General features: G+C 48.4%; 1 protein-coding gene and 1 long non-coding RNA gene across 4 annotated transcripts, besides 2 other annotated features; one reads left to right on the top strand and one right to left on the bottom strand.

Annotated features, from left to right (window-relative positions):
- Window positions 1,613-2,812: an enhancer, noted in NCBI's record as "CDK7 strongly-dependent group 2 enhancer chr14:96734992-96736191 (GRCh37/hg19 assembly coordinates)". NCBI's record gives its function as "activates an origin of replication core promoter dependent on BRD2, BRD4, P300/CBP, MED14 and CDK7 cofactors, with strong dependence on CDK7, by STARR-seq in HCT116 cells {active_cell/tissue: HCT116}" and the evidence as "EXISTENCE:reporter gene assay evidence [ECO:0000049][PMID:35650434]".
- BDKRB1-AS1 (BDKRB1 antisense RNA 1) lies at window positions 2,887-12,236 on the top strand. 2 transcript variants are annotated; one of them, XR_007064322.1, is made up of 2 exons: window positions 2,887-3,098; window positions 11,575-12,236. It is a non-coding gene; the product is annotated as a BDKRB1 antisense RNA 1 (long non-coding RNA). The 2 variants fall into 2 exon arrangements; XR_007064323.1 differs by lacking the exon at window positions 2,887-3,098 and adding an exon at window positions 8,856-9,378.
- On the bottom strand, window positions 6,704-15,257 carry BDKRB1 (bradykinin receptor B1). 2 transcript variants are annotated; one of them, NM_000710.4, is made up of 3 exons: window positions 15,167-15,257; window positions 8,697-8,815; window positions 6,704-7,794 (listed from the first exon to the last, which is right to left on the bottom strand). In NM_000710.4, exon 3 carries the CDS (start codon window positions 7,782-7,784, stop codon window positions 6,723-6,725), a length of 1,062 nt encoding a protein of 353 aa, NP_000701.2. In that variant the 5' UTR covers window positions 7,785-7,794; window positions 8,697-8,815; window positions 15,167-15,257; the 3' UTR covers window positions 6,704-6,722. The 2 variants fall into 2 exon arrangements, with proteins under 2 accessions (NP_000701.2, NP_001372936.1); NM_001386007.1 differs by lacking the exon at window positions 8,697-8,815.
- Window positions 17,762-18,271: an enhancer, noted in NCBI's record as "H3K27ac-H3K4me1 hESC enhancer chr14:96719533-96720042 (GRCh37/hg19 assembly coordinates)". NCBI's record gives its function as "activates a minimal SCP1, AML or CMV promoter by ChIP-STARR-seq in naive H9 embryonic stem cells {active_cell/tissue: H9 hESC(naive)}" and the evidence as "EXISTENCE:reporter gene assay evidence [ECO:0000049][PMID:30033119]".

Here is a 20,138-nt window from a genome sequence, read left to right as displayed (position 1 = left end):
ACAGTCACTCCTTGGGATTGGCATACATCTTCCAGCCCTTGATTTTGTTGGCTGAGAACTCGCGTGAGGGAAAAGTTGCAGGTGGCCAACACTCTCATTGTCCTACTTAACTTTAAGATCCAGCTCAAGGAACCCCCTTTCCTTCTGGAACTCCTTGCAGCAGACTTCGTCACCCCATGACGAGACATCTCACACTGAGGAATGATCTCTTTTCTTTTCTGCCTCCCTTACATGCAGTGAGCTCCTCAAGGGTGAGTGTGCAGTAGATGCTTCCTGGATTCTTGTTGCAGCCTCCTGCCAAGAGATCCTGCAGCTTCGCTGGGCTCCTCCAGAGACCAGGAACCCACGTCATTGAGGGCCATCAGTTCTATCATGGGACAGCTCTGCCTGTCAAAGAGCCCATCCTTAAATTAAGACAGAAAGTGTTTCTCAGGATTTTTTTCTCTTTGGTCCCTTTGGGGTAACACTAAGTGCATTTGTTCCTCTCTCCACATAAGTCTTATCTTCTGTGGTAAGCCCTCTGCCGCCATGTGTCTGGAGGGTGTGCTGTTGCATCCTCTCACCAGTCTGATCCCTGTCTTTGGAATCAGCCAAGAGCTGGACACAATACTCCTAATGGACCCTGTCCAGTGCTAAATTAAGGGAATATGACCTTCCTCATTTTAGAGGCTATACTCCTTTGAATGCAGCTGAGAGCTGGCAGCTATTTTGGCAGCTACAGTACACTGAGCCCCTTGTTGACTGAAGCCCTGAAATGTCTTCCTCTCGTACTTGCTGGGTCCCAACCAATCCTTCCTGATAGTTTTCTGTCCCCTGAAGCTCCTGAAAAGTAGGCTTGGCTTCCTGTTTACTGCCTTAAACACAATCCTGGCCATAGGGAGTCTCTGCAATCATCATGGCCACTCAAATGAGAACCCTGGCACTCAGGCCTCTTCTCTGACCTCAGCCTGAGACTGAGACCTGTCACCAGGGCCCAGCGGGCATCTTGGGTCTGAACAGAGCCCTTCAGCAGGAGCCCTGCTTACTCGGTGACCTTGGACAAGTCTGCTTGTCTCTGGACCTTGGTTTCTTCATCTGTAAGGCAGAGTGGTTGAACTTAATGATGCATTCTTTTTAAGGTTTTTAGTAGATTTGCATACAGTGATAAGAAAGATGCCTTGTACTCATTCTTTTTTTTTTTTTTTTTCTGAGACAGGGTCTCACTTTATTGCCCAGGCTGGAGTGCAATGGCACAATCATGGCTCACTGCAGCCTTGAACCCTGGGCTCTACTGATTTTCCCACCACATTCTCCCAAGTACCTGATACTACAGGTGTGCACCCCCATGCCTGGCTAATTTTTGTATTTTTACTAGAGACAGGGTTTCACCATGTTGCCTGGGCTGGTCTTTGAACTCCTGGGCTCATGTGATCTGCCTGTCTCGGCCTCCCAAAGTGCTGGGATTATAGGCATGAGCACTGTGCCCGGCCCCATTATTCTTTACTCAGTTTCCCCCAATAGTAACATCTTACACAAGGATCGTGCCATATCACAACCAGGAGAGTGACACGGACACCATTTTTGGGATTTTATTCAGACTGTGCTTTGACATGCATTCATTTCAGTCATAGTTAAAGCCTCTTCTGCTCATAGGAGAAAATGGTTGTTGGTGCTTGCTGGGGTGGCGCTGTCCTGGTGTCTCACATACATCTCTGACCTTCCTCTTGTCCTTTCTCGCCTTTCCTTCCCTTTCTTTGCCCATTACCTCTTTCCAAAAAGGGAATAAGGCCGTCCTTTTGGGTCACTTAATTTTCACAACGACACAGTGAGGCACTGCTCTCCTCATTCCCATTTTACAGATGGGATGCCGAGTTTCGGTGGTCGGCCAGGCCCATGCGGTGGTGGAGTGAGGACTGGAACAGTGGCATGTGTGACTCAGAGACCTGGACCTCTGACCGGCTGCACTGTGCACTCTGCAGCCCCGCGGTGAGGCCCTTCTTGGGCAGGGGCCTGAGCTGGGGGTGGTCCGGGGAGGCAAGAGGATGCTGAGAAGGAATCAAGGGGGTCTGGAGAAAGGGGCTGGGCACAGGGAAAGAGAAGGGCAGGAAGGAGCTGAAGGTGCACAGAGGCCAGAGCGGAGCTCAGCCGGAGCCAAGGCTTGGATCAGCCCTGGTTGGATGCCCAGGCTCCTCGGAGCTGTGGTGGGAGCAGGGGTGGGGAGGAACACTTTCCAGGGCTGCTTCCGACCTGCTCCTCATCAAATTTGTGACTCATCTCCGGAGAGCAAGAGCCTGCCTGTGGCCATTGCAACATCAGGGAGTTTCCCCGAGGCTGGGATTTGGAGGGCCTTAGTGCCACCCACTCCCCATGATGGATTGGGGTGATGATGGGGCAGGGTGGGGGCAGTTTTCTTACCTTCCCACTGCAGAGAGCAGTGAAGGCCACATATGGCCCCTGATCACGCGGTTCTGGAGCCCAGGACAGACCCAGAGCTGGGAACGGATTGGAGTGAAACCTTGTTCTCTCTTTCTACTTGGCCCTTCTCAGGGAGAGAGTGGAAGCCCACATGGGTGCTGGAGCTGGGGATGCTGGAAGACTATTTGCTAATTCCTCCCTCCACCCCAGGTGTTAGCACCACAGGTGTGGCCTGGGCCTGGCCCCATATGGAACACGCCAGGTGAACCTATCAACCAGATCCATGGGAACTCAGATATATTACCTTTTCCCACAGCATCGATCCTTTTAGTCAAGGCAGAAATTTCTCCCTCTGTAAATGAATAACTGGCCTTCCCCACAGAAGGGCAACAGAATTCTACTGTACGGGTTTGCCAGTTTCTCTCCCACTGTGGGGCCATTTGCTGGGCTTCGGTAAACGTTACTTATGTGCGTCTCATAAATCAGGTGTCTGAGTTCTCAGGCTGTGGCTGCAGTCTACCATTGAATTACATCCCGTGAGCAATGTTGTCCGATTTCACCGGCCAGCACGTTCTTCTCGAGTGTGGGATTGGTTTTTGCAAGACCTCGAAAGGATTTTGATAAGCCACCTGCTTAAGGCCGGCTGAAAAAGAAGAAAGGAGGGCATATGTGGGTCAGCTCACTCGGAATAGAAGAGGAATCAGGTATTATTTTCCCTTTCCCACTCTCTATTCCTGCCTGTTCCTGCCTACTTTTGCCACTTTGCCACAGAGCCTTTGCCCAATGAATTCCTGCCTGGGGGCTTGGAAATCACATTGGTGTTGGAGTCAGATGAGTTGGGTGAATCCAGCCTCTGCAGTCTGAGCAGGCACTGCCTTCCTTAGCCTCCTCTTCCTCACCTAGAAAGTGGACATCCTGAAACAGACCTCACAAGGGAGTCAGGCGATTAAATGAGATGACTGAGCCTACTCCTGTGTGTGGCTGCTGAGTCGCACTGGGTGTGCTTGGGCAGGTCTTACTGCTCTCTGTTTCCTAGACTGTATGTGAAGGGATGGTCTGGATGAGGGGTTGCAAACTTAACCTCCCATAGCTTCCATGCGTGTGAACCTGATGGGAGGGCGCCCTGTTCACGGGGCCTCTGCTACACAGCACCAAAGAATTGGAGCCCCGGGGGGACCCTGGAAGGTCAACTCCAAGGGCCCAGGGATGTTCCTCTCTTTTGTTCACTGCCATATTTTCAGTGCCCAAAACAGTGTCTGACAAAGTAGATGCTTAATAAATATCTGCTGAATGAATGAAATTGAATCAGTGTTGCTGGATGTTCCAAACTTTCAAAAGAAACTGGAAAGCTGGCTCCCAATGGGGAGTTTCAGTACTGGTAACCAACTCAAGAGCCTGGGGGCTTGGAGTTTTAAAAAATACCATGTGGTTCAAATTAAACACATGTGCAGGCTGGATCTTGCCTGTTGGCTCAGCTCCAGGCCTTCTGACGACACTCTGCTCTCCAGGAAACCTGCAGGGGCTGGAACACTGATCACAGGGTTATCACTGATGAGGTCCTGGTGGCCCAGCCGCTGCCAGCCTCTCAAACCCTGTCTCCAGGCTCCAAGAACATGGCATTCTTTCCATTCCTGGAATGAATGAGTCTTTGCTGCTATTCTGTGAGGACCAGCCCTTCCCGTGCAGCTGTGGGGACTGCCATTCTCCCCATTCCCCCAAGTGTCTTGGAGTCCAGTCACTACACCCTCTCCCCCACTCCATGGAAACTGACCTTGGAATGGCCTCCTGGCCCACGGACTCTCTCCTCCCCAGGGCCTGACAATGTCCCGCCTGCCTGTGAGGGCCCAGGTAGGGCCCACCCACCACCTGACCTCTCCATTCTCTATGTTGTCTCCAACCTCCTTCTTCTTCCCTCTACTTCAGCCACCTGGTGCCAGGGATACACTTGGTCCTTGTCATCTCCTGAGATGGCTCTGCCTCTGGAATGTTCTACTCAAACATTCCTGCTCTGTGGCTATGCCTTCCTCTCTCTCTTTTAATGAGACAGGGTCTCACTCTGTCAGCCAGGCTGGAATGCAGTGGCACAATCTTGGCTCACTGCTTGTAGCCCTGACCTCCTGGGCTCAGATGATCCTCTTGCCTCAGCCTCCCAAGTAGCTGGGACTACAGGTGCGCACTACCACGCCTGGATAATTTTTGTATTTTTTGTAGAGACGGGGTCTTGCTATGTTGCCCAGGCTGGTCTCAAACTCCCGGGCTCAAGCCATCCACCTGTCTCAGCCTCCCAAAGTGCTGGGATTACAGATTGCACCCTTTGTGGAAACCAGGCTCACGGCTGATTCCCTTCACAGTGTACAGAAGATCACGCCTGGCTCTTCTTCTGTTTCTTGCTGTCACCCAGGTTCTCTCACTATATCCATCCTTTAACACACTGATCTCACTTCACTTCCTTCTCTCCCTGTGCTCGTTTCTTCCCTCTCCATCATTCCCCCGAGTCTGACCAGGATCCCCAACTCCCATGACGTATGGCCGTCTATCTGGCTAAACCCTACTCCAGAGCAATCCTTTCCTGGGTCTGTCGAGCATTATCAGAGTAAATTCACACAACACAGCCACGCTTTCCAGCTTCAATGGGGCCCTCAAAGCTGCCTGGAGCCCACCATCCTTCCTGGGTGAACTGTCTTTGCCAGCTGACCATGGTGGACCCAGCCTGTCCATTCTCCTCCAGCCCCAATTCTCTCCATGACCCGCCTCCTCCTCTGCCATCCTTCAACCTCTCCCTCCTAACCTGTAACCCCACCTGCCTCTGGGCCTACTTTGTTCCTTCTGTCTGGAACACTCCTTTCCCCCATTTTGCTTGGCCAGCTTCTCATTTTTTGGGATTCAGTTTATGTGTCTCTTCCTCCAGGAACCCCTCTCTAACCATCCCTCCCAGCCACCCAGACTGGAGCCCTGCTCTGGTTCTCACGGCACCCCTCACCCTGATGGTGGCGGGCATCCTGCTCTATGACAATCCCTTAATTATTGTCCTGGTTGCTGTGAGCCCCTGGAGGGTAGAGACACCGTTAGGCTCACCGTTGGGTCTCTCATAGCAAGACCCGCACCAATGCATTACACGTTCAATAAGAGCATGCACAAGCATTCTTTTGTGAGCAGCTCACCCTTTCCCGCCTCTGCCAGCCCTTCCTCCCTGTCTCCACGTATCCAGATTGCACCCTTTGTGGAAACCAGGCTCACGGCTGACTCCCTTCACAGCGTCTTCTCTGCTAACCTGAGAGGGAACCCATCCCCTTTCTCGCTGAAGGCGCAAGATGCTGGATCCGTGGTGTGTTCATGCAATTTCTCATTTCATTTTTTATATTATAATATTTAGATGTATGTAAGTTCCTTGAATATAGAACTTCTAGCTATACCATCCCTGTATTCCTGGCAGTTAGCCTAGAAAGCTTTGAATAGACAAATGGAAGTGTAATAAGAGAGGCCATTACCCGATACTTGTTATTTGTTTCCTGCTGCTGCTATGACAAATTACCAGAAACTCGGTGGCTTAAAATACAAATGGGGCCAGGCGCAGTGGCCACGCCTATAATCCTAGCACTATGGGAGACCAAAGTGGAGGATCACTTGAGCCCTTGAGTTTGAGACCAGCCTAGGCAATGCAGGAAGACACCATCTCTACAAAAAATAGAAAAGTTAGCCAGGCATGGTGGTGCACACCTGTAGTCTCAGCTACAGGAGGCTGAGGTGGGAGGATCCCTTGAGTCTGGGAAGTTGAGGCTGCAGTGAGCCGTGATTGTGCCAGTGCACTCCAGCCTGGGTGACAGAGCGAGACCCCATCTCAAAAAAGCAAAGCAAAGCAAAGCAAACAAAGCAAAACAAAACACAAATGTATCCTCTAACAGTTCTGGAGGCCAGAAATCCTAAATCTGTTTCCCTGGGCTGAAGACAGGGAGTTGGCAGGACCCATTCCTTCTGGAGGCTCCAGGGGAGAAGCCATTTCCTTGCCCTTTACAGCCTCTAGAGGGTGCCTGCAATCCTTGGCTCGTAGTGGCCGTCCTGAATTCCTCTGGCCTCTGCTTCCATAGTCACATCTCCTGACTCTGAGCCTCCTGCCTCCCTCCTATAAGGACCCTTGTGATTATATAGGGCCCACTTGGATAATTCAGGATCATCTCCCCATCTCAAGACCCTTAATTTGGTAACATTCATCAAGTCCAGGGATTAGGTACCCCCCAATCTACGGGAGTAATCATTTAGCCTATCACAATAGCATTTATTATGTCACAAAGAATTGATAAGAAAGCCAAGCTTCTTGGTTCAATGCTGTTTTAATTCCGCCAGAAAAGTTGGAAGATTTCTTTCCTATGGGATGAAGATATTGGAGCAAGACTTTTAGGGGTGCATTGTTTATAAAGTTCCCAGACCTTGGTCCTGAAGAGCCGGCCCACAAAGACATAAATTACTGGATTCAGGGAGCTGTTAGTGAAGGCAAAGAAGTTGGCCAATTGCAGGCCCAGGTCAATGAAGTCCTCCCAAAAGCAGCCTCGGACTGCTTGCACCTGGAATAAGAATTCCAGGAAGGCAAAGAAGTGGTAAGGGGCCCAGCAGACCAGGAAGGCAACCACGAGCGTGAGGATCAGCGCTGTGGTCTTGCTATCCTTGCGGCCCCCGCACCTTGTCCTGCTGACCTCCTCCCGCGTTCGCAGGGAGGCCAGGATGTGGTAGTTGAAGAAGACGATCGCAGCCAGTGGTAGGAGGAAACCCAGAATATTTAACTCCACAATCCTTGCAAAGTGCCAGGCCTCATGGGGGAGGAGCAGGATGCAGGCGGTGATGTTCAGATCTGGGACGGCTTGGATGGATCGCAGCAGGAATGTGGGGATGCTCAAGAGGCCCCCCACAACCCAGATGAGCACGCAGGTGACCCGGGCCTGCCTCCGCCGCTGCTGCCTCCGGCTGGCCATAGGGTGCACCAGCACGCGGTAGCGGTCCTGGCTGATGGCCACCACCAGGAAGATGCTGATGAACAAATTGGCCTTGATGACCCCGTTGATGACACGGCAGAGGAGGGCTCCGAAAGGCCAGTTAAACTGGTTCCAGATATTCTCTGCCCAGAAGGGCAAGCCCAAGACAAACACCAGATCAGAGGCTGCCAGGTTGGCCAGGTAGATTTCTGCCACGTTCAGTTGCCGCCGGGGCAGGAGGAAGACCAACAGGACAAAAAGGTTCCCTAGGAGGCCGAAGAAACAGATGGAGATGATAAATGTTGGCAGCACTCTGTGCAGCAGGTCCCAGGCTTCTGGAGCATTGTCACAGGCCGTAGCATTTTGAGGGAAGAGCTGGCTCTGGTTGGAGGATTGGAGCTCTAGAGGGGGCCAGGATGATGCCATGCACAGTGACCTGAAATGAACAGAAGGTAGAATAAAACAGGAAGTGGCAGACTACAGCCTATGAGCCAAACCAACCTGTCACCTGTTTTTGGACAATAAAGTTTTATTGGCACAGAGCCACACCCATTCCTGGACGTATTATCTACAGCTGTGTTCATGCTACAAGGGGGAGTCGAGCGCTTGTAACAGAGACTGTCTGGCTTGCAAAGCTGAAGATATTTACCATCTGTTCCTGAGGGGGAAAAGTTTGCTGACCTCTGGTTTAAGGGATGGTGCCTGAGTCCAAATCCCGGTACAATCACTCAGTGTGAGCTACTTAGAACCATTGACTTTTACTTTCCTTTTTAAACATTGGAGAGAATCGTGTCTCTCTTGTGGGATCACGGGAGGGCTGTTGTCAGGATCTACAGGGTGCTTAGCTCCGTGCCTTGCATAGAGGAAAGACTTTGGAAGGTAGTGATTAGTCTTAGTAACAACTGTACCATTATTATTATTACTATTAGGGTTTTAACAGGCATTTAATGAGCCTCTACCTCTTGCCAGCCCCTTGCCAGGCACTGGAGATATGCAGGACAGAGCAGCCCCAGCCTCATGGGGCTGCAGACATGGAGGCAGAGGTCATGGCTTGAGATAGAGCTGAGGGAAGCCCGGGAACAGCAAAGGAAGCTGACCTGTTGGGGCTGGGACCAGTGTGGTGGCCGGGGTGGGGACAGTGCTAGGAGGTTCCTCTTACAGGCTTGAAAAACATGAGTATTGGCCGGGTGTGGTGGTTCACACCTGTAATCTCAGTACTTTGGGAGGCCAAGGCAGATGGATCAGATGAACCCAGGAGTTCAAGACCAGCCTGGGCAACATGGTGAAATCCTGTCTTTACAAAAAATACAAAAATTAGCTGGGCATGGTGGTGCATACCTGTGGTCCCAGCAACTCGAGAGGCTGAGGTGGGAGAATCGTTTAAGCCTGGAAGGTCGAGGCTGCAGCGAGCTATGATTGTGCCACTGCACTTCAGTCTGGGCCGACGGACTGAGACCCTGTCTCAACAACAACAACAACAACAAAAAAAAAAAAAAAAAAAAGGAGAGAGAGAGAGAGAAAAGAAAAAAGAGAAAGGAAAGCATGAGTAATAAATAAGGATAACAACTAACATCTGTTAGATGGTATTAATGGTCTGTGTTCCAGGCGCCATTCTAAGTGTTTCACATTTAAGTATTTTCTCATTTAATCTTCCTGGCAGCCATTCAAGGTAGGGGCCATTGTCATCTCCAGTTGGCCAATTAGAAAATTGAGTGCTGAGACCCGGAGTCGCCTGTCTGAGGTCACACAGCTGGTCAGTAGGGCCTGGATTCAAACCCAGGCAGTCTGATTCAAGAGCCTGATTGAGATCCTGTGCTTCTGTCTGCTCTCTTCTGCTGCACCTGTCCCCACGCGATGAATGACAAAGCCAGGCTCAGAGAAGTTAACCAGCTTGTCGGAGAAGACCTAGGTGGTGGTTACAGTGCTACGCCAGGAACCTTGGTCTGCATGGACCCCAGAGGCCGTGCTCACAGCCATGCAGCTGACTGGCCTCCCACGCTTGCTGGAGGAGCTACAGCTGGTGGGTACAGTGTACACTATGAACCTTGGTCTGCATGCACCCCATAGCTCATGTTCATAGCCACGCAGCTGACCTGCCTCCCATGCTCCCATGCTGAGTTTCACCGGGAGAGGGATAGAAAGCTCTGTCTCTTTCCATAGGGAGGACTGCATCTCCCAGCCCTCTGCGATCCCACAAGGGGTAGATCCCATCCTGTGCTCATGGCTTCGTGGCCTCCTGCTGGCAAAACCGGCCACAGCCAACTCAGGGATCCACAGAATACTATCTGCAGAATGAGCAGCTGCCTACACTGCGGGATTTATGCGGCTCCAGACAATCTTCAGAGCCTAAACATTCTTCCCCAGCTTGGATAGGTTAATATACGCCCGGTGCTTGGCAGGGTTCCTGACTTATTGTAAGCACGTGGCAAACATTAGTTGTCACTGTCATGATTGTTATTAATGGGTGACACCTGAGATTCCTTCAACCCCGCAAAGCCTCACAGATACCAACAAAAGCTATTGTGTAGCAGAGAATTAACCTTGGAAGAGCATATTTGGCTGTGTAACCTCAGGAGAGTCAGTTCATGTCTCTGAGCCTGACTTTCCTCATCTAAGGAAGACATGATGTCCTCAAGAGGCCCTTCTAGCTCTGACATTCTGTCATGTCACTCACATGGAGTTATTCACACCGGGGTATAATTCACTGGTTCCTCCAGTTATTTATTTGCTGAACAAGTATTTACTGAGAATGTACTATGTGCCAGGCACTGTTCTAGGTATTTAGGACAAAGCAGTGAATACAGCAGGCAAAAATCCCTGCTCTCAGTGTGCGTATAAGCCTAGCAGGAGGAAGAAGTTGATAAACAATACACACACTAAATAAACATGCTGGCGGGTGACAGCTGGGGAGAGTAGCAGGGCAGGTGGTGAGAAGTGATCAAGTGATCAAACTCTAGAGGTGTTTTGGAGGTAGTAACACCGTGATTTTCAGTTGGATCTGGGTGGGAGAAAGGAGAAATCGGACAATGCCAAGGTTTTTGGACTGAACACTGGGAAGTATGAAGTTGTCATCAGCTGAAATGAAGGTGACAGAATGAAGATGAAGCAGTTTTTTTTGTGGGGGGTGGGGAAGAACAGGAGTTCAACTTTGGAATTGTTAAGGTTGAGATATAAATTGGACATCACATGGGGACATCCAGCAGGCAATTAGGTAGACAAGTGTGGTATTCAGGGACAAGATCTGGGATGATGAGACCTAACTGGGAGTTGTAACTATAGGAATGGCATTTAAAGCCACAAGGCTGGATGAAATCACCAAGGGAGAGAGTAGATAAAAGAGCAGAAGTTGCACAGCTGCCGGTTGACAGATCAACAGGAGACATGGGAAATTATGATTTGGTGGTTGTGAAATGTCCATGGCACATGGAAGCTGAGCAGTCCCCACCCAGAGCATAATATGGAGGAGGCTGGAGGCTCTTGTTACAATAGTTTGGTCATTTTTTGCAGGGCATAAATCCAAAACTATGTGTATTTTATCATTTGGCAATACTTAAAGAATTTGAAATAAACCCTTTTGGAGTAATGAGCTAAAAAACAAATATTTAATGGAAATTTAAGTACTGCACTTCTGTTGCTCAAGGAAGTTGTTGATGAGCAGATAGCTTGCATAGAACGTTTGTTGACATTTGCATCACTATGGGGTCTGTAGCAATTTCACTGATTGCAAGAAAACCTAAGACACAGAGCTGCTACTTTAGAAATTAGTAATTTTAAGAACATTGCACCAGGCTGGGCGTGGTGGCTCAAGCCTGTAATCCCAGCACTTTGGGAGGCCGAGGCAGGTGGATCATGAGGTCAGGAGTTCAAGACCAGCCTGGCCAAGATGGTGAAACCCTGTATGTACTAAAAATACAAAAACTAGCTGGGTGTGATGGCAGGTGCCTGTAATTCCAGCTACTTGGGAGGCTGAGGCAGAGAATTGCTTGAACCTAGGAGGCAGAGGTTGCAGTGAGCTGAGATCGCACCAGTACACTCCAGCCTGGGTGACAGAGTGAGACTCTGTCTCAAAAAAAAAAAAAAAAATTGCACCCTAAGACACGGTTCTCATCCATGTAGCTGCAAAAGATGCTGATATAAGATCATTCTGAGAGGCATGACTTTTCCCTTAGATCAAATGACTGTTCTTTAAGTTAACTCAGCTCACATTTAATTCCAGCTTTTCTTGTGCACGTGCAACAGTGGAAGTGATGGCTGACTGTGTGTTGGCTCCATAAGAAGAACATCACAGAAAGCAAAATGGTGCCAGCTCAACACCAGTATCCTCGGACTCTTCAGACAGAAAAACCTGTTAATTCCAATCACAATTCATTCTTTCATTCAGCTCATGGAAGCCAAGCAGGGCTTTGGGACATTCATTCTGGCAAAGTGAAACAACTGACTTTTTGTGAATGCTATTTAAGTTGTTTAAATTTTCCACATTGGAAATAAAGTCATTGCATTTTTGTGAGGATAAAACACAAATTGTGGTGGAGTCCAGCGTCATGGTAACAATAATATTCCTACTAAATTAAGACACTAATGAAACAGAAATGTGATTGGAACAGGTCATGGTGCACACACAATTTGTTATTGCATATAAATAAATGTCAATATTCTATAAATTGACATTTATAGACGTACGTGACAAAATTTACAAAATGTTAAAACATATGCACAGATTTACTGAACTACAAACTTGTGATAAAGTTGTTCATGAATTTTTTTAAAAAACTGGACTTTCACATGTGTTTTCTCTTTTATTTTCCCATTATCAATCAATTTTAGTGGACATTGAGTCTCAGCATCCTAAAATGTTATTAAACAGTGTATTAAAACAGATCTATAAATTTTCGTTGAATTTTGTTCCAAATCAGTTGGAAATATTTAGTCAAGTTATTCAATGAATAGAGCAGCAAAACGTCAACTTTCAAAGCTTTTAGTGAATTATAAATATTGAAAACAAAGCTGGTATGCAGAAAAATTATAAAATGTATCAGAAAATGATCAAAATCAAATGCTGTACAAGAGTTAATTTTGAAATTCTAAAATGAGCTCTGGAACATTTCAGCTTGTGGGAAGAATCTTTTTAATTGGATAAATTCATGTTCTGTATGAAATGAGATGAAATTGAGAAAGCCAATGATTTTTTTTTTTTTTGCAGTATCTGAATCTGACAAAACATTCAAAACTTATAAGTAGGTACAACTTATTTGAAAGGTTTAATCTGGTTAAAAAAAAATACGTGTGGGCTGGGCACGGTGTGGCTCATGCCTGTAATCCCAGCACTTTGGGAGGCTGAGGCAGGTGGATCACATGAGGTCAGGAGTTCAAGACCAACCTGGCCAACATGGTGAAACTTTGTCTCTACTGAAAACACAAAAATTAGCCGGGCATGGTGGCAGGCGCCTGTAATCCCAGCTACACAGGAGGCTGAGGCAGGAGAATTGCTTGAACCTGGGAAGCGGAGGTTGTGGCGAGCCAAGATCGCACCACTACATTCCAAACTAAGGCACAAAGACAGCACCTGTGAAAATATCTGGGCTAAAATATTTATGCAATTCCATATGCAAAGAATTGGACTTGAGAACAGCCTCTGCCTGGCAGAATTTGCTGAGAGCTTATCACTCAGAACCTGCACAGGGAACATTTTCTCAATATATTATGGTTCAAGAGAAGAGTCAATTGAAGGTACTAATTTAAATTTGTTAATTGTAAAATTTGTGGAAAAAAGATTTCAGGCAATTATATGGAAAAATTAAAAATAACAAGACCCCACTGAAGAAAATACATTCTTGTGAAAAATGCCAGTGACAGGGTATCAGTCAGGTACAAGAAACTGTAGCATGTGAATATACAACAAGAACAATTATTTTGCTTATCTTATTTTTAAATGTTCAGTTGATTAACATAAACATGTTTTCTTTTGCTTTAATATTCATAGGTGTATGCATATATATTTAAAGACTTTTTTGAAAATAGTTTTTATCTAGAACTACTTTATAACACCATCAATATAATATAACCATTTTGTTGGATTTTTTCCCCTTCCTTCCTTCCTTCCCTTCATTCCCTCCTTCTCTCCTTCCCTCCCTACCCTCCTTCCCTCCTTCCTTCCTTCCTTCCTCCATCCCTCCCTTCCTCCCTCCCTTCTTCCCTCCCTCCCATCCTGCTTTCCTTCCTTCCTTCCTTCCCTTCCTTCTTTCCTTCCTTCCTTCTTTCCTCTCTCTTTCTACCTGTAAATACTAATTTTTGGGGGAAATAATTTTTGACTATTGGGGTGCCCCGGCAGTGTGCACACACATGGCCTGACCATCCCTCTCCTAGCTATCTCTGATGATGGCCAGGAAGCTGAGGTCTATGGTGACAGAGGCTGGCAGGTGGGAATCTGTAGAATTCCCCGGCGATTGGTTGGGATTTCTCAGGGAGAAAGGAGGCGAGGTCCTGACCTGTGGTGGAGGGGCTGGGGCATTGAGAGTTTGAGAAGAGATGGGAGGGTGTTGAGCACTGATATGGTTTGGCTGTGTCCCCACCCAAATCTCATCTTGAGTTGTAGCTCCCATAATTCTCTCGTGTTGTGTGAGGGACTTGGTGGGAGATAATTGAATCATGGGGATGGAGAACAAAGCCAAGCCAATATCTTGACTTTAGCTCAGCGAGACTGAGTTTGAACTCCTGATCTCCAGAACTGTAAGATAATAACTTGCATCGTTTTAAGCCACTCACTTTGTGATAATTAATTATAGCAGCCTTAGGAAACCAGCACGGGGGTGAGGCTGCACCCTGCCCAGGAAGCCAGAGACGACCAGCTACGCAGGGACTTTAGCTCGAACCTGATTAGGTCAGTGGACACCGCCCCCATCCCCAGGACGGGGAGGTGGCTGGGGCCACTGCAGCCACAGCATGTGTCTGCTCACATGGGGCTTATTTTTAAAGGGATTGTCCTCACCTGCTGCTGTCTGTGTTTATAAAGTTGGCTAGAGAGGAGAAATCTTCCTTTGCCAGTTTTCAGCTTTAGCTCTGATATTTGCCTGGAACATAGTAGGTGCTCAATAAACAATATCTCTGGATATTGTTAGTAATATGTGACCCTATTTGAAGAACTCAGAAGGGGCACTGGGCAAGTCTACAAGAGATGGCAATTCTGTAATTCCTGTGTGGTATTTTCTGAATTCTGCACATTTTAACCTAGGCTATGAGACAGTGTGACTTTCTTCAACAAATTAGTTAATTCTTCAAATTAACTCCAATTTCAACAGCATGGTGATGTTAAAGGCATTGGAAATTCAGCCACAGATGTTAAAGACCATCAGCACGGTCACATAGTAAGATGCTACTTTCAAGCCACGAATAACCCAACCAGTTATTGGTCTTATGAAATCTTGTAAGCCATCCCAGAGAGACTAATTTAATTTTTATGATTCAGAATTTGCAGGCTGTAACTGGTCAGTCCATGCGAACTCTGGTGGCTGCATTCAGCCCTGACATGTTTCACCTGACTTTGATATAAGGAGCTACTGGAACCTTCCTACGAGTTCTAAAACCTTTCCCTCCTCCTCCTGTTCTGGAAAAGCAATTAAGACCCAAACTAGGCATGAAATAAAAGTCTCTTAAATTGATTTAGAATTATTTTTAAAAAGTACCCTCACAGAAGTGGAAAATTTTGCCAATAGGTAGGTGTAAAAGGAAGTTTTTTGTTTTTCTAAGAGACACAGATTTCCTCTCATATTGTACTCTCATAAAAGAAAAAAAAAAGGTGGTCATTTACTTACTCAGGCAGAAAATGAAGGCGTTCACAACTGTAGTTGGGTTTTCTGATAGTGAGAGCTGCTTTTGGAGGAGTTTTCTCTTCTGGGAAGTGCTGTGGAGATGTGGTTGCTTTAAATTATATAACCTCCGCTCCAGTGATGTCATTGTGGGGATTGCCGCAAAAGTGAGTCTTTCGGGACTCACTCCAAGTGGATTTGGAAGGAAAAATCCACTCTCATTTCACTTTGCACTTTAGGGATGATAAGAGATTATTCAGCTACCATCTCCCCCTTTACTTTGGTACCATCTGCAGAGGTCTGCAATCCTGCCCAAGACCTGTATGTTGGCAAACACGCCCTAAAAACATGTTTTGACATCGCCAACTTGCCCCAAGGCTCGCAAAGTGTCAGTGAACATTGAGGGATGGCTTTTGGCCCCTTCACTATTGGCTTCTGAATGTCTGGGGCTCTGCAGCAGCTTTTGTGGGAGCCACTTCGAATGGCCTCTTTTGAATTTTGGTCATGAAAGATACATCGCCAAGAATCCATCAGAGTGGACCCATCACACAAACAGAGAGCTAGGAAAACGTTTGACTCATGCAATGTTCAGAGTTGAGTAAGACCAGATACATTTTTTCCTAATCCTCCTTGGCGTCTCTCAAATTATGTCTGCATGGGTCAAGTTGAACTACTCAAGACCTCATGTTTCAGACAGTAAGATATTTTTGGCTTTGAGAATCAGGTGACAAGATTCTCCAACTGAAGGCCCCTTACCTGTCAACTTACAAATTAAGATCTTTCCAGGCCACCCCCTACACGTAGGAGAACTCATTCATGCCAGAATTCAGGACTTCGAGTCTGACTTCTGGAAAGGTGACCCTCCAAATGTTTGGAGCAGAAGGTGTCACCTCTGTCTTTAGAATCTTGCCTTTTGCTTGTGTTCCCTTTTTCTGCTAGTGACATCTCAGCGGGAGCCAACTGCACTTCAAGTTTTCCTGCTGTCTTCTCCTGTTGCTGAAGACCTTAAAACTGTGGAAGTAGGTGGAACAAATAGCATTCTGAGGCTCAGTAGCGGATGTACATTTCAGGGAAGAAGCTGGAATTTGCCTTAGAGGATAGGATGGTCCCCTCCTATCAGGAGAGACCTCCTGGGTGGGATTTTTAATAAAAAAAAATTGTCAACAGGCAAGCATCTTCCATTACTCCCGGGATAGATCTGAACCGGAGGAAGGCTCCAAATCTTAGCCTTTCCTGTTACTTAGTAATGTAGGCGGGGGTCTCTCCAGCCCGTGGCTGGCTTATTCTCCCTTCAGTATGAGTTTAGACTATACTGTTTCTGAGAAGCGTTTGTTCTTAGGAGATGTCTCCCTGTTTATTCACCCAGGAGTGCGTATAAGGCCAGCTCTGCCACAAAGAGCACGTGCAGGTCTCATCTCTGCTTTGCCTCTTGCTGGAAGACAGTCTGTGAAGAGAGCTGGCCTGAGTGAGCTGGACTTCGGAGATGCATCTGGCTGCCTTGCCAAGGTGGTGGAGGGCGGAAAGGAAAGTTCTTTAAGAAGACCCACGTTTCCCCTTGTTGCTCATCTCCACGGGAAATGCGAGACAGGCCCGGGCTCAGGGGAGCAGAGGGTCTCCTACTGTCTCTGGGGCCAAGGGAGTGGGGCTGAGGGCAGGGGGAGGGGACCCCAAATCTGTGAAAGAAAAGCAGGTCCCTATAGTGTGGCAGAAGATAGCAGGGGACTAAGAAGTGGGTAGGCACTGAGGACCCTCTTCTGAGGCTTCGCTTGCCTTTTTTCTTTTTTTTTTGAGACTGAGTTTCGCTCTTGTTGCTCAGGCTGGAGTGCAATGGAGCGATCTCGGCTCACTGCAACCTTCGCCTCCTGGGTTCAAGCGATTCTCCTGCCTCAGCCTCCCGAGTAGCTGGGATTACAGGCACACACCACCACACCCAGCTAATTTTGTATTTTTAGTAGAGACGGGGTTTCTCCATGTTGGTTAGGCTGGTCTCAAACTCCCGACCTCAGGTGATCCACCCACCTTGGCCTCCCAAAGTGCTGGGATTACAGGCGTGAGACACCGTGCCCGGCCAATGCTTGCCTTTTCTGAATTTAGTTGTTTGTAATTCCCACAGCCTCTATAAGGTTTGGTTAAACCTTACAGTCTGATGTGTGCTGTGCTTGATGAAGTCCCCTGGGTACTTGGGTGAAGAGGTGGTCACAGAGGATAAAGGCCTGCCTCTGGAAATAGAGGACAGGCCAACCTTCCCTGGGGTGTCCTAAATACTAGTGAGGGGGCACTCCAGGCAGGCTGGACTCCCTGTAGTATGCGTGGGCTTGGGCCATACTGGATGTGTATTCAAGGGAAGGTGAGCTCTGGAGTTTGCAGCCCCTGGGGACATGCAGTCCCAGTGCCCACTGTGACATCAAGGGCCACTTTTCAGTTCTCTCATCCATCAGTCCTGGAGTTTTTTTCTCCTTTACTTTTCTAGTCATATCCAGCAGGTTCTTCAAAATGAAAGACTCTAGTACATGTCACCCAGCAGACCTCTACAAATAGCACCCAGATGCTGAGCCTCTCCAGGGTTCGTTCTTAGTCCTTACACGACATCTGATGTCTCCAGTATTCTCCCAATTGTAGACGGAGGACAGAAAGCCACAGCTGGGCAGAATTCTTGCCAGGATGAAATGCAGCACCCTCACTGTGGTCCAGCTCGTGTCCTTTCACCCCCGACCAAGGCTGTTGGCGGTCACACCTTTCTTCCCATCACAGGGTTTAGAAACTCATGCAACGTACATACAAGTCTGCAACAAAGGACTGTAAACCAATCTCCTGGCTTTCTGATTCCTTTCCTTCAGTCTATCCTTCTGCTGGATTAATATTCTGGAAACACCTGGATTTTGTCATGCCACAGGACAACGACCCAACCCCTTGGAATTCAAGAGCTCCCCAACGGTCTTGCTGTAACACCCAGAGCCACCCTCCATGCTGAGCGAGTGACTCATGGGCTCTGAATGCATCCTGCTTGTGAGCATTTGCTGAAAATGACCTCCTCCTCCTCGCACTGTTCAGTGTTCATCCATCACTCAAGTCCTGGTGTAATCCTCTGCTTTTCTCTAAGCACGGGGCCTGAGTGCTTTCCCCTTTATTTTAAAAACACATATGGAGCACCCAGCTGGTGCCAGGCAAATGCCACCCTAGAAGAGCATGCGTGTCTAGCACATAGGAAGCGGGGAATGGATGGGGTGAACAGACGGTGTCTAAGTGTAAGGGGGGAGGTAAGCAGAAAATCCCAAATATACATTTAGCAAAGCACAAACACTTGGAGATCTACAGGATGACAGGGTGGACATGAGCACGTCCTGGGCATTCAGGCAGCTCCAGGTGCTGCCATGGCCTGGCAGCCAGCCCAGAAGTGAAGGGTCCTGGGTGCTGGCTCTGGGGTGGGAAGGTGCCCACTTAGCAGATAAAGCTCCACTGGGCCAGGGGTTCCTCCCCGCCCTTGTGTGGCCCTGCTTTGGGAGATGAAAGCCTTCTCGCCCAGGCAGAGCAGGGGATCACGAGACCTTCCTCTTTAGGGAGCCTCGAGAATCCCAGGAGTGCACATGCTCTCAGAAGGGGCTTGTACCAGGAAAATCAGCTGCATTTCTCTGTCTCCTAAAGCCGAAGCCAGGCCGTCTCATGTCTCTTCTCGAACTCCTCTGCTGCTGTCTCAGGCCCAGGAAAACAGAGACCTTACGGCGGCAAGGTTGCACATGCGCAGACCCAGCTGTCCCCCAGAGCACATGCGTAGACCCAGCTGTCTCCCAGAGCACATGCGCAGACCCAGCTGCCTCCCAGAGCACACGCGCAAACCCAGCTGTCTCCCAGGGCACATGCACAGACCCAGCCGCCTCCCAGAGCACTCGTCTCATGGTGCCTGGCTGCCCTGGCTTCCTCGAGCTGTGTTTTTTGTTTTTTGACACAAGGTCTCACTATGTCGCCTAGGCTGGTCTCAAATTCCTGGGGGCCCAAGCCATCCTCCCACCTCGGCCTCCCAAAATGCTGGGATTACAGGCACTCCCCACTATGCCCAGCCTTTCCTCTCTGTTTTGAATGTACCACCTCCTCTCCCACCTCAGGGCCTTTGCACTGTCCGTTCCCCTACATGGAGCACCTTCCCATCGAGAGCCCCATGCTTGCTCCCCCAGGTCCTTCTGGTCCTCACCAATCCTCCCTTGTCAGAGAGACCTTTCCTGAAATAACCTCTCCTCCTCTTGGCCTGCTCCACTGCTCTTCACAGCCCTATTGCCACCTGCTCCACCAGGCAACGGATTTATCTCTTTTGATTAGGTTCATCTTCCCAACTTGTACAACAGGGCTGATAAGTAGCACGTGCTCAAATATTTGCTGAGTGTATTCATAACTATGTATTACAAATAAGTATATAATAGCAATAGCTTGTCTTATGTCAACAAACATGTGCCAAACCCCTTGTGGGGGCCAGGCCCTGTGTGGGCACAGGGGGTGCATAGACGAACACAGCCCACTCCGTGCCCACTTAAGGAGCTCTTGGGATGGCTGAGGACAGGGACAAGCTGACATCCAGTGACAACATGTTGTAGAAAGCAGAGTGGCAATGAAGTTCTGAGGCTGTGTCTGAGTGTGAGGTTTGAAAAAAATGAGTTCTGCTCGAGGTGGAGTGGGATGGGTAATTTATGTGTCATGCTGACTGGGCCATGGGGTGCCCAGATATTTGGTTAAACATGGTTTCTGGGGGGGCCGTGAGCGAGTTTAACCTTCCTAGGTTAATTTGAATGATTAATGTTTGAATTGGTAGACTGAGTAAGGCAGATTGTCTTCCCTGACATGGTGGGTGGCATCCAACCTGTCGGAGGCCTGAATACAACCAAAAGGAGCAGCAAGGGAGAATTGGTTCTCTCCGCCTGGCTGTTTTCAAGCTGGGACATCTGTCTTCTCCCACCTTCTCGCTGGCCATCCTGGGTCTCTGGCCTTCACA

The sequence above is a fragment of the Homo sapiens genome, chromosome 14 (genome assembly GCF_000001405.40).
Source record: "Homo sapiens chromosome 14, GRCh38.p14 Primary Assembly".
Taxonomy (NCBI): domain Eukaryota; kingdom Metazoa; phylum Chordata; class Mammalia; order Primates; family Hominidae; genus Homo; species Homo sapiens.
The sequence above is the reverse complement of the archived record's forward strand: the minus strand, read 5'-3'. Positions and strand labels throughout refer to the sequence as shown.

What these genes read in the sequence shown, in the direction of transcription:
- BDKRB1 (NM_000710.4), bottom strand. Translation starts at nt 7,784, where the DNA reads ATGGCATCATCCTGGCCCCCTCTAGAGCTCCAATCCTCCAACCAGAGC.